At 45.2% G+C, this 13,071-nt stretch overlaps 1 protein-coding gene across 2 annotated transcripts in view; it reads left to right on the forward strand.

Moving 5' to 3' along the window:
• Window positions 1-12,861, forward strand: part of CCDC126 (coiled-coil domain containing 126) — a 47,327-nt gene extending 34,466 nt beyond the window's left edge. For both annotated transcript variants that reach the window (XM_017012775.3, NM_138771.4), the window contains one exon: window positions 11,084-12,861. In XM_017012775.3, coding sequence (XP_016868264.1) covers window positions 11,084-11,268 — 185 coding nt within the window. In that variant the 3' untranslated portion in view covers window positions 11,269-12,861. The remainder of the gene's footprint in view (window positions 1-11,083) is intronic.
• Window positions 12,862-13,071: the final 210 nt, after the last annotated feature.

Below are 13,071 nucleotides of genomic sequence, written 5' to 3' on the forward strand. Positions count from 1 at the left end.
ATTTTCTCTGCAGTTTAAAGAAGAATTAGCATACTTTAATGCAATCTTTTCCAGAAAATAGAAGGGGAAGGAGCAATTCCTAGTTCATTTTATAAAGCTAGTTTTATCCTTACACCCAGCTAGGCAAATACAGTATAAAAAATAAAAACTGCAGATCAAAATTCCCCCAAATATAGATGTGAACATTCTTAAGAAAATATTAGCAAACAATTCAGCAGCATATAAGAAAATTAAACACCAAGTGGGTTTTTTTTTTTTTTTTTTGAGATGGAGTTTCACTCTGTTGCCCAGGCTGGACTGCAGTGGTGTGATCTCAGCTCACTGAAACCTCTGCCTCCCAGGTTCAAGTGATTCTCCCACCTCAGCCTTCCAAGTAGCTTGGATTACAAGGTGCCTGCCACCATGCCTGGCTAATTTTTGTATTTTTAGTAAAGACAGGGTTTCACCATGTTGGCCAGGCTGGTCTTGGAACTCCTGACCTCAAGTGATCCGCCCGCCTTGGCCTTCCAAAGTGCTGGGATTACAGGCATGAGCCACCACGCCTGGCCACAAAGTGGCATTTATTCCAAAGATGCAAAGCTGTTCAGTATTTGAAGATCAATCATTGTAATACCATATACCAAATAAACAGATTAATGGGAGGCAAGTGGGTTTTACTGTAAAAGGGCAACATAGGGATCCTAGTGGTGATAGAAATATTCTGCGTCTTAACTCTTATCAATGTCAGCATTCTTGTTGTGATATTGTATACAGTTTTGCAAGATGTTACCATTGTAGGGAAACTGGGCAAAGGGAATTGGAATTTTTGTATTTATTATTTCTTACAACTCTTTGTAAATCTACGGTTATCTCAAAACAAAAAGTTAATTTAACAATTAAGGAAAAAACCCAAAGCCAAACCTGTAAAATGCGTGGTCCTTGTATTCCAGATACGTTAAAGGAAAGTCAATCTCAGAATTCCTATTAGATATGATTTTGATGTAGATATTTAAGACGTAGTCTATTTATGGTGATTTGTATCATTTAGGCAAAGCCATTATATAGCATTTCTTAGGAAAAATTAGGCTTATTTTAGGAACTGAGGTATTTGTATTTAATGTCTGATGAGAACTTACCTTAGTTCACTCATGTGATCTAAACTGCCTTGCAGTCCTTTTTTTTTGAGACGGAGTTTCGCTCTTGTTGCCCAGGCTGGAGTGCAATGGCGCGATCTCGGCTCACCATAACCTCCACTTCCTGAGTTCAAGCGATTTTCCTGACTCAGCCTCCTGAGTAGCTGGGATTACAGGCATGGGTCACCACACTCAGCTAATTTTGTATTTTTAGTAGGGAAGGGGTTTCTCCATGTTGATCGGGCTGGTCTGGAACTCCCAACCTCAGGTGATCCGCCTGCCTCGGCCTCCCAAAGTGCTGGGATTACAGGCGTGAGCCACTGTGCCCGGCCCTGCCTTGCAATCTTAAGAAGAGAAGTAATAAAGTAATTCTTGAGTGACATAATTTATTAAGCACTGAGTGGGAGAAGGTAGCTATATTAAAAATACAAAAGATTAAACAATGAATGTACACTTAATCATAGAATTGATGAGGTCTTTGAAAGCACTTTTACCTATGGTGTTCTCTTTGCTATGATATTTAGTTTGTATTTCTTTGGAAGCATTCTTCCTTTACTGCTAGTAGCTTCATAGTAAAACTTTACACTGGGTAACTCACTTTGATAACCAAGAAGCGACTTCTGGCTGGGTGTGGTGACTCATGCCTGTAATCCTAGCACTTTGGGAGGCCAAGGAGGGAGGATCACTTAAGATCGGGAGTTCGATACCAGCCTGGCAACATGGCGAAACCTTGTCTCTACAGAAAAGTAGCTGAGTGTGGTGGTGGGCACCTGTAATCCCAGCACTTGGTAGGCTGAGGTGGGAGGACCTCCTGAGCCCCGAGGTCGAGGCTGCAATGAGCCGAGATTGTACCACAGCACTCCAGCCTGGGCAGGGACAGAGTGAGACCCTGTATCCAAAAAAAAGAAAGAAAAAAGAAAAGAAGTGATTTCTAAATTTTCTTGCTTGCACCATTAAGCTGATATTTAGTGGTGGTAAAGTATTGATTTGAATTTGAAAAATATTAATAAGGAAAAGTGTTTGACTTGTTCAATGTATATGAAACACTTCTGTGTCATTTTACATTTTACAACAGTTTTATTCCTTCTGTGTGTACATACAGGTTTATCTATTTAGACCTGCCTCTCTACAAAATAGATTTGAGGCAGCTGACATTAAGAGTACAAACCAGGAAACAATATTTAGGTATAAAAAGATAAAGTACGGCCAGGCCTGATGGCTCACGCCTGTAATCCCAGCCCTTTGGGAGGCTGAGGTGGATGGATTGCCTGAGCCCAGGAGTTCAAGAGTAGTCCAGGCAACATGGTGAAACCCTGTCTCTACAAAAATTAGCCCAGCATGGTGGTGTGTGCCTGTAGTCCCAGCTATTTGGCAGGGGGTGGGGAGGGGGCACTGAGGTGGGAGGAAATCACTTGAATCCAGGAGGTCGAGGCTGCAGTGAGCCATGATTGTGCTATTGCACTCCAGCCTGGGCGATAGAGCAAGTAGAGCAAGACCATGTCTCAAAAAACAAACAAACAAACAAAACATAAAAGACATGTGACATAAGTAGGGGGTCTGCAAGAGCATGTGTGCTTATGTTTGTGCCAGTACTGTGGCTGGTTGCCCTCAGATTTATTCCTTACCCTTTCTCTGTTCTATTTCTCAAGGAAGAGTGAGCGATTCCAGTAGGTGGCATTTTCCAAGTTCCCAAATCAGCTGGCTTCTGCCTGGGTTCAGCCAGTGGGAGGTATGGGAGGAATTTGGAAAGTAGGAGGAAGGGAAGGTATTTTTTCCCCTCCGTCTCTTCTTCAGGTGGGGTCTCTGGCGGTACCCATGATTGTTTTGTAGTGTTACCTTCTGCCAGACAGCCTGCCTTGGTTCTGTTTTTCCACGAGGTGACCTTGGACTTGGCCTCTGGTAAATCACTACATTCTCCCTCTCTTCCACAGTTAAAGGGATGATAGTAGCTTCCTGCTGTGCCTTATAATCACTGATTATGTTTAGCATAGTTAGAATCTTTTTATACCCAATATCTTTAGCATACTTAATAGCATCATATACCCTTCTTTTGATTTTTGTGTGCTATGAAATAATCAGGCTAGGTCTATGTTTTTATGTGATTCTTTTCCCTTCTTAAACTATTTGATCTTCTCCCAGAATAAGGAAGTTAAAGTAGAAACAGAGCAACCTTAAAGTGGTTTATTTTCTAAATTGGATCCTTCATTTCTATCTCAGTGATGATGCCACCTACCAAACATGTGAATTAGACCTTCAGCAAATGTTCATTTCAAACATTTGTCGAGTGTCTACTGTGTGATGAAGCACCAAGCTGGGTGAGCTGAGAGTAAAAGGATAGATAGGATAGGATCTCTGTTTCCAAGTTGCTTTTAGGGGTTCAAGGTCTAAGATAGGGAAGGGGTTCTTACTGCTAGCACCTTCAGTGACAGAGCTTTATGGGGGAAAGTATTATGGATGCACATATAATATTAATACAAGCATAGAATTCCCTTAAAGATGTCATCTCATGACATGTAAACATAAAATTGTATTGTGAATATAGAGAAAGGAGGATGTTTGGTGTATTTGAAAGAACTCCAAGAAATAAGAGTTTTGTTCTGATATTCAATGAAGTGATTTTATGTCATGGAGAAAGATAGATATAATCTCTTAGTCTCTTTTTTTGTAATATTAAAACAGTTGATTTTAGAAAATTTAAAAGCTCTGTATTTAATAATAATTTAGAACATTGTAAAGTTATCATATAGTTGTTTCTCATTTATCCTGACTTTTTCTTTAATTGCCAATTTCTAACCCTGACTGAAATAAGTGATTAGACTGCACCTTTATAATTCTCACACCTCAGTTTAATGTCAAACCTTCTAGGCTTTTAGCTTCATTTTGTTAATGAGTTAAGACTGTCCCCTGCTCTCCCTCTCCCTCTCCCTCTCCCTCTCCCCACGGTCTCCTTCCACGGTCTCCCTCTGATGCCGAGCCAAAGCTGGACGGTACTGCTGCCATCTCGGCTCACTGCAACCTCCCTGCCTGATTCTCCTGCCTCAGCCTGCCGAGTGCCGCCACGCCTGACTGGTTTTCGTTTTTTTTTTGGTGGAGACGGGGTTTTGCTGTGTTGGCCGGGCTGGTCTCCAGCTCCTAACCGCGAGTGATCCGCCAGCCTCGGCCTCCCTAGGTGCCGGGATTGCAGACGGAGTCTCGTTCACTCAGTGCTCAATGGTGCCCAGGCTGGAGTGCAGTGGCGTGATCTCGGCTCGCTACAACCACCTCCCAGCCGCCTGCCTTGGCCCCCCAAAGTGCCGAGATTGCAGCCTCTGCCCAGCCGCCACCCCGTCTGGGAAGTGAGGAGCGTCTCTGCCTGGCCCCCCATCGTCTGGGATATGAGGAGCCTCTCTGCCTGGCTGCCCAGTCTGGAAAGTGAGGAGCGTCTCTGCCCGGCCGCCATCCCATCTAGGAAGCGAGGAGCGCCTCTTCGCCGCCGCCATCCCATCTAGGAAGTGAGGAGCGTCTCTGCCCGGCCGCCCATCGTCTGAGATGTGGGGAGCACCTCTGCCCCGCCGCCCTGTCTGGGATGTGAGGAGCGCCTCTGCTGGGCCGCAACCCTGTCTGGGAGGTGAGGAGCGTCTCTGCCCGGCCGCCCCGTCTGAGAAGTGAGGAAACTCTCTGCCTGGCAACCGCCCCGTCTGAGAAGTGAGGAGCCCCTCCGTCCGGCAGCCATCCCGTCTGGGAAGTGAGGAGCCCCTCCGCCTGGCAGCCACCCCGTCTGGAAAGTGAGGAGCGTCTCCGCCCGGCAGCCACCCCGTCCGGGAGGGAGGTGGGGGGGGGGTCAGCCCCCCGCCCGGCCAGCCGCCCCGTCCGGGAGGTGAGGGGCTCCTCTGCCCGGCCGCCCCTACTGGAAAGTGAGGAGCCCCTCTGCCCGGCCAGTCGCCCCGTCCAGGAGGGAGGTGGGGGGGTCAGCCCCCCGCCCGGCCAGCTGCCCAGTCCGGGAGGTGAGGGGCGCCTCTGCCCGGCCGCCCCTACTGGGAAGTGAGGAGCCCCTCTGCCCGGCCAGCCGCCCCGTCCGGGAAGGGGGAGGGGGGGTCAGCCCCCCGCCCGGCCAGCCGCCCCGTCCGGGAGGGAGGTGGTGGGGGTCAGCCCCCCGCCCGGCCAGCCGCCCCGTCCGGGAGGTGAGGGGCGCCTCTGCCCGGCCGCCCCTACTGGGAAGTGAGGAGCCCCTCTGCCCGGCCAGCCGCCCCGTCCGGGAGGGAGGTGGGGGGGTCAGCCCCCCGCCCGGCCGGCCGCCCCGTTCGGGAGGGAGGTGGGGGGGGTCAGCCCCCCGCCCCGGCCAGCCGCCCCGTCCGGGAGGGAGGTGGGGGGATCAGCCCCCCGCCTGGCCAGCCGCCCCTTCCGGGAGGTGAGGGGCGCCTCTGCCCGGCCGCCCCTACTGGGAAGTGAGGAGCTCCTCTGCCCGGCCAGCCGCCCCGTCCGGGAGGGAGGTGGGGGGGTCAGCCCCCCGCCCGGCCAGCCGCCCCATCCGGGAGGGAGGTGGGGGGGTCAGCCCCCCGCCCGGCCAGCCGCCCCGTCCGGGAGGGAGGTGGGGGGATCAGCCCCCCGCCTGGCCAGCCGCCCCTTCCGGGAGGTGAGGGGCGCCTCTGCCCGGCCGCCCCTACTGGGAAGTGAGGAGCTCCTCTGCCCGGCCAGCCGCCCCGTCCGGGAGGGAGGTGGGGGGGTCAGCCCCCCGCCCGACCAGCCGCCCCGTCCAGGAGGGAGGTGGGGGGGGTCAGCCCCCCGCCCGGCCAGCCGCCCCGTCCGGGAGGTGAGGGGCGCCTCTGCCCGGCCAGCCGCCCAGTCCGGGAGGGAGGCGGGGAGGGGGGGGTCGGCCAGCCGCCCTGTCCGGGAGGGAGGTGGGGGGGTCAGCCCCCCGCCCGGCCGGCCGCCCCGTCCGGGAGGTGAGGGGCGCCTCTGCCCGGCCGCCCCTACTGGGAAGTGAGGACCCCTCTGCCCGGCCAGCCGCCCCGTCCGGGAGGGAGGTGGGGGGGTCAGCCCCCCGCCCGGCCAGCCGCCCTATCCAGGAGGTGAGGAGCGCCTCTGCCCGGCCGCCCCTACTGGGAAGTGAGGAGCCCCTCTGCCTGGCCAGCCGCCCCGTCCGGGAGGGTGGTGGGGGGGTCAGCCCCCCGCCCGGCCAGCCGCCCCATCCGGGAGGAGAGGGGCGCTTCTGCCCGGCCGCCCCTACTGGGAAGTGAGGAGCCCCTCTGCCCGGCCACGACCCCGTCTGGGAGGTGTGCCTAGCGACTCATTGGGGATGGGCCATGATGACAATGGCGGTTTTGTGGAATAGAAAGGCGGGAAGGGTGGGGAAAAAATTGAGAAATCGGATGGTTGCCGGGTCTGTGTGGATAGAAGTGGGCATGGGAGACTTTTCATTTTGTTCTGTACTAAGAAAAATTCTTCTGCCTTGGGATCCTGTTGATCTGTGACCTTATCTCCAACCCTGTGCTCTCTGAAACATGTGCTGTGTCCACTCAGGGTTAAATGGATTAAGGGCGGTGCAAGATGTGCTTTGTTAAACAGATGCTTGAAGGCAGCATGCTCGTTAAGAGTCATCACCACTCCCTAATCTTAAGTACCCAGGGACACAAACACTGCGGAAGGCCGCAGGGTCCTCTGCCTAGGAAAACCAGAGACCTTTGTTCACTTGTTTATCTGCTGACCTTCCCTCCACTATTGTCCTATGACCCTGCCAAATCCCCCTCTGCGAGAAACACCCAAGAATGATCAATAAAAAAAAAAAAATTAAAAAAAAAAAAAAAAAAACCAAAAAGATCTATAGCAGTAGTCTGCCAGAAAAAAAATCTCAACAAGTTAAAAAATGTTTGATTTCATATAGGTGATATGTTGTTTGATTATGATGTAATACAATAATAAATTAACAAAAAAAAAAAAAAAAAAAAAAGACTGTCCCCTGCCCATTTTAGGTTGCTACTTCTTTTAATATTATAAAGGAGGTGATTGCCATGGAAAAGGAGATCCAGTATTTATGATTTAGTCTTACTGCTGAAGGGTTTTAAAAAATATGATTATCTCCTGTTTACCAAATACTATTGCAACTCTTGATTGAAAGGTATTAATAAATAAATGTCCCCTCTCCCAATGTTTTATTTTGAAAATTTTCAACTCTACAGAAAAAATTTAAAAATTGTGTGGTAAACATCATATATCTTTCATCTAAACTCACAATTGGCTAACATTTTTTTTATGTCTTTTTTTTTTTTTTTTTGAGATGGAGTCTCGCTCTGTCACCCAGGCTGGAGTGCAGTGGCACGATCTCAGCTCACTGCAACTTCTACCTCCCAAGTTCAAGCAGTTCTTCTGCTTCAGCCTCCCGAGTAGCTGGGACTACAGACATGTGCCATCACGCCTGGGCTAATTTTTTTGTATTTTTAGTGGAGACGGGGTTTCACCATGTTGGCCATGGTGGCCAGGCTGGTCTTGAATGCCTGACCTCAAGTGATCCATCCTGCCTCGGCCGCCCAAAGTGCTGGGATTACAGGCGTGAGCCATCGCACCCAGTCCTCTTTATATATACAAATATCTATGTTTATTTCTTTTTGGTACCATCTGAAAGAAGTATATATCATGATATTTCATTCCTGGGTACTTCTTGCTGAAAGATTTTTGTAAATGTTTTTCTTGTATATTCCCTTTAAACTAGAATGTTGAGGTGTTCATGATGAATGATGCCAGAGATGCACTCTTGGAAAATCTCATTTTACCATAAGACTTGCTCCAAATAGTTTCCTCCTCACTTTATATTACATTTCTCTTTTTTTGATAAGTATTTTTTGATCACCCTCTATCACGACCACTACGGTAGTACTACTCCTTTCTGATACCTTTTTTCCCCACTTCTAAACAATTGTAAAATATCGATAACAACATTTGCCATTAAAATAATTTTTAAGGCTGGCTGCGGTGGCTCACGCCTGTAATCCCAGCACTTTGGGAGGCCGAGGTGGGTAGATCACCTGAAGTCAGGAGTTCGAGACCAGAGACCAGCCTGGCCAACATGGTGAAACCCTGTCTCTACTAAAAATACAAAAATTAGCTGGGTGTGGTGGTGCATGCTTGTAATCCCAGCTACTCGGGAGGCTGAGGCAGGAGAATCGCTTGAACCTGGGAGGTGGAGGTTGCAGTGATCCGAAATTGCTCCAGTGCACTCCAGCCTGGGTGACAGAGTGAGACTCCGTCTCAAAAAAAATAATAATAATAAAATAAAATCTGGGGGCTGGGCATGGTGGCTTATGTCTGTAATCCCAGCACTTTGGGAGGCCGAGGCAGGCAGATCACCTGAGATCGGGAGTTCGAGACCAGCCTGACCAACATGGAGAAACCCCACATCTACTAAAAATACAAAATTAGCCAGGCATGGTGTTGCATGCCTGTAATCCCAGCTACTCGGGAGACTGACGCAGGCGAATCACTTGTACCTGGGAGGTGGAGGTTGCGATGAGCCGAGATCGCGCCATTGCACTCCAGCCTGGGCAGCAAGAGTGAAACTCTGTCTCAAAAAAAAAAATTTTTTTTTTAAATATGCAATTCATCAATATTCATTATATTCACAGTGTTGTGCAGCCATCACTACTGTATCTTTCCAAAACTTGTACCACTCCAAACAAGAAATCTATAAAATTTGAGCAGTAAATCTTTATTCCTTCCTTCCCTGATCCTTAATAACCTGTAGTCTACTTTCTGTCTGTATACATATGCCTATTCTACATATTCTATATAAGTGGAATTGTACAATATTTGATTTGATTGATGTCTGGCTTATTTCACTTAGCATAACGTTTTCAAGGTTCATCTGTGTTGTAGCATGTATCAGAATGTCATTCCTTTTTCTGGCTGAATAATATTCCATTGTATTTACATATATACCACATTTTGTTTATCTGTTTATCTGTTGATGGACACTTGAGTTGTTTCTACCTTTTGACTGTTGTGAATAAACCTGAAATGAACATTGGTGTATAAGTATCCCTCTGAGCTCTGAATCCTTTTGGTTTTTTTTTTTTTTTTTTTTTTTGGTATATACCTAGGAGTGGAATTCCTAGGTCACATGGCAATTTTATGTTTAAGTTTTTGAGGAACTGGCAAACTCTTTTCCACAGCAGCTGCACCATTTTATATTCCCACCACTAATGTATGAGGGTTTCAGTTTCTCTGCATCCTTGCCAACACTTATTTTCCATTTCTTTGATGATAGCTATCCTAGTAAGTGTGAAATGGTATCTCATTGAGTTTTGGTTTGTATTTCCATAGTGGCCAGTGATATTGAACATCTTTTCATGTACTTACTGGCCATTTGCACATCTTCTTTAGAGAGTATCTATTCAAGTCCTTTGCCCATTTTAAAAATTGATTTATCTTTTTGTTCGTGAATTGTAAGAGATCTTTATATATTCTAGGTAGTAGATCTTTATCAAATTTATGGTTTGCAAATGTTTTCTCCCATTCTATAGGTTGTCTTTTCATTTTCTTGATTAATGTCCTTTTATGCACAAAAGTTTTAAATATCGATGAAGTCCAGTTTATCTATTTTCTCTTTTGTTGCTTGTGCTTTTCTGATAGAACCATCAGCACATTTATCAGTTGTTAGATGATTTCTCTCCTGGTGATCCCGGATTAGGGCTTGGGCTCATTTTTTGGTCCAGGATCAACAAAAATAACAGTATTCGTTGTCACTAACTGAGTACCTAATATATGCTAGGTGATTCTGGGAAACCTGAGAAAGAGAATTCTAAGGCAGAAAAGCCTCATAATTTTATTCTTGTCAAGTAAAGTTTACTGAAACTCCATAACATTACAAAGAGGTTAGAAGATAGTCTTCCCCACCATTTTTCTGCAGGAAATTTAAGTCAGAACTACTGCTAGTGTCCTACTGCACTGAACAGGTTCCTGGCATTTGCACTGGACCCTAGGCTCCCCCACAACTCCACCCCTGTGGAGGTTCTCGATTTCTGTATTTCATGGACTCTCTTTCTTAGCTAGCTTTTTAGTTTACCAGCTTAGTCTGTGTTTTTTTGGTTTTTTGTTTTTTGAGAGGGAGTCTTGCTCTGTCGCCCAGGCTGGAGTGCAGTGGCGCTATCTCTGCTCACTGCAAGCTCTGCCTCCCCGGTTCAAGGGATTCTCCTGCCTCAGCCTCCCAAGTAGCTGGGACCACGGGCGCATGCCACCAGGCCCGGCTAATTTTTTTATATTTTTAGTAGAGACGGGGTTTCACCGTGTTAGACAGGATGGTCTCAATCTCCTGACCTCGTGATCCCGCCCGCCTCAGCCTCCCAAAATGCTGGGATTACAGGTCTGTGGTAGTTTTTACAAAATGCTTAAGAAACTCAAGGTAAATGAGTTACTCACAGCGGGACTAACATTTTGAACCAGACTTTAAAATCCATTATATCGCACTAGAAAAGCGAGAGTTTCCCCCACATTTACAACTCTGAAATTCCTTTTGGAAACTCTGTAAATGATGTTGTTGATTTAAAAATTAGGGCCAGGAGCAGTGGCTGACACCTGTAATCCTAGCACTTTGGGAGGCCGAGGAGTGCGGATCACCTGAGGTCAGGAGTTCAAGAGCAGCCCGGCCAACGTGGTAAAATCCTGTCTCCACTAAAAATACAAAAATTAGCTGGGCGTGGTGGTGGGCGCCTGTAATCCCAGCTAATCAGGAGGCTGAGGCACGAGAATCGCTGGAACCCAGGAGGTGGAGGCTGCAGCGAGCCGAGATCATGCCACTGCACTCCAGCCTGGGAGACAGAGGGAAACTCCATCTCAAAAAAAAAAAAAAATTAGGCTTTTCCTATTTGTAGTATGAGTGCATTCTCTCTAGTACATTTTCCCTCAGATGACCCAGTAGTTGTTCACCTTTTTCCTTCAAACTGTAAAAACACAAAAATGAAGAGCTCTATTAATGTTAATTTTATTCTGATTTATTCCCCTAGCGGATCTGAAAAGAACAATTGCTGTCCTTCTGGATGACATTTTGCAACGATTGGTGAAGCTGGAGAACAAAGTTGACTATATTGTTGTGAATGGCTCAGCAGCCAACACCACCAATGGTACTAGTGGGAATTTGGTGCCAGTAACCACAAATAAAAGAACGAATGTCTCGGGCAGTATCAGATAGCAGTTGAAAATCACCTTGTGCTGCTCCATCCACTGTGGATTATATCCTATGGCAGAAAAGCTTTATAATTGCTGGCTTAGGACAGAGCAATACTTTACAATAAAAGCTCTACACATTTTCAAGGAGTATGCTGGATTCATGGAACTCTAATTCTGTACATAAAAATTTTAAAGTTATTTGTTTGCTTTCAGGCAAGTCTGTTCAATGCTGTACTATGTCCTTAAAGAGAATTTGGTAATTTGGTTGATGTGGTAAGCAGATAGGTGAGTTTTGTATAAATCTTTTGTGTTTGAGATCAAGCTGAAATGAAAACACTGAAAAACATGGATTCATTTCTATAACACATTTATTTAAGTATATAACACGTTTTTTGGACAAGTGAAGAATGTTTAATCATTCTGTCATTTGTTCTCAATAGATGTAACTGTTAGACTACGGCTATTTGAAAAAATGTGCTTATTGTACTATATTTTGTTATTCCAATTATGAGCAGAGAAAGGAAATATAATGTTGAAAATAATGTTTTGAAATCATGACCCAAAGAATGTATTGATTTGCACTATCCTTCAGAATAACTGAAGGTTAATTATTGTATATTTTTAAAAATTACACTTATAAGAGTATAATCTTGAAATGGGTAGCAGCCACTGTCCATTACCTATCGTAAACATTGGGGCAATTTAATAACAGCATTAAAATAGTTGTAAACTCTAATCTTATACTTATTGAAGAATAAAAGATATTTTTATGATGAGAGTAACAATAAAGTATTCATGATTTTTCACATACATGAATGTTCATTTAAAAGTTTAATCCTTTGAGTGTCTATGCTATCAGGAAAGCACATTATTTCCATATTTGGGTTAATTTTGCTTTTATTATATTGGTCTAGGAGGAAGGGACTTTGGAGAATGGAACTCTTGAGGACTTTAGCCAGGTGTATATAATAAAGGTACTTTTGTGCTGCATTAAATTGCTTGGAAAATGTTAACATTATATTATATAAGAGTATCCTTTATGAAATTTTGAATTTGTATAACAGATGCATTAGATATTCATTTTATATAATGGCCACTTAAAATAAGAACATTTAAAATATAAACTATGAAGATTGACTATCTTTTCAGGAAAAAAGCTGTATATAGCACAGGGAACCCTAATCTTGGGTAATTCTAGTATAAAACAAATTATACTTTTATTTAAATTTCCCTTGTAGCAAATCTAATTGCCACATGGTGCCCTATATTTCATAGTATTTATTCTCTATAGTAACTGCTTAAGTGCAGCTAGCTTCTAGATTTAGACTATATAGAATTTAGATATTGTATTGTTCGTCATTATAATATGCTACCACATGTAGCAATAATTACAATATTTTATTAAAATAAATATGTGAAATATTGTTTCATGAAAGACAGATTTCCAAATCTCTCTTCTCTTCTCTGTACTGTCTACCTTTATGTGAAGAAATTAATTATATGCCATTGCCAGGTAGAAGTTTGGAATAATTGTTTAGTCTCTCCTATTAGATGTGGACATTTTTGTTTTTGTTTTTGTTTTCAGGGATGAAATAAAATATATTATTTCTACCTACAAAGTATTACAGTCTTTTTTCTTTAATGTTGGTTGTGCATTTAATAAATGATAAATGGTTAAAAGGAATCTTAAGAAAAATTCGGTTTTGTTTCAATTCCAGATAACTTTTCCAAAAGAGAAAAATTGAAGGTTACCCAATAGTGCCTCTCATTTGATACTAGGGTAGGAGAGTCTGAGTGCAGAGATAGATTGGAGAACTAAGGCTTG

Source organism: Homo sapiens, chromosome 7 (genome assembly GCF_000001405.40).
Source record: "Homo sapiens chromosome 7, GRCh38.p14 Primary Assembly".
NCBI classification, from domain to species: domain Eukaryota; kingdom Metazoa; phylum Chordata; class Mammalia; order Primates; family Hominidae; genus Homo; species Homo sapiens.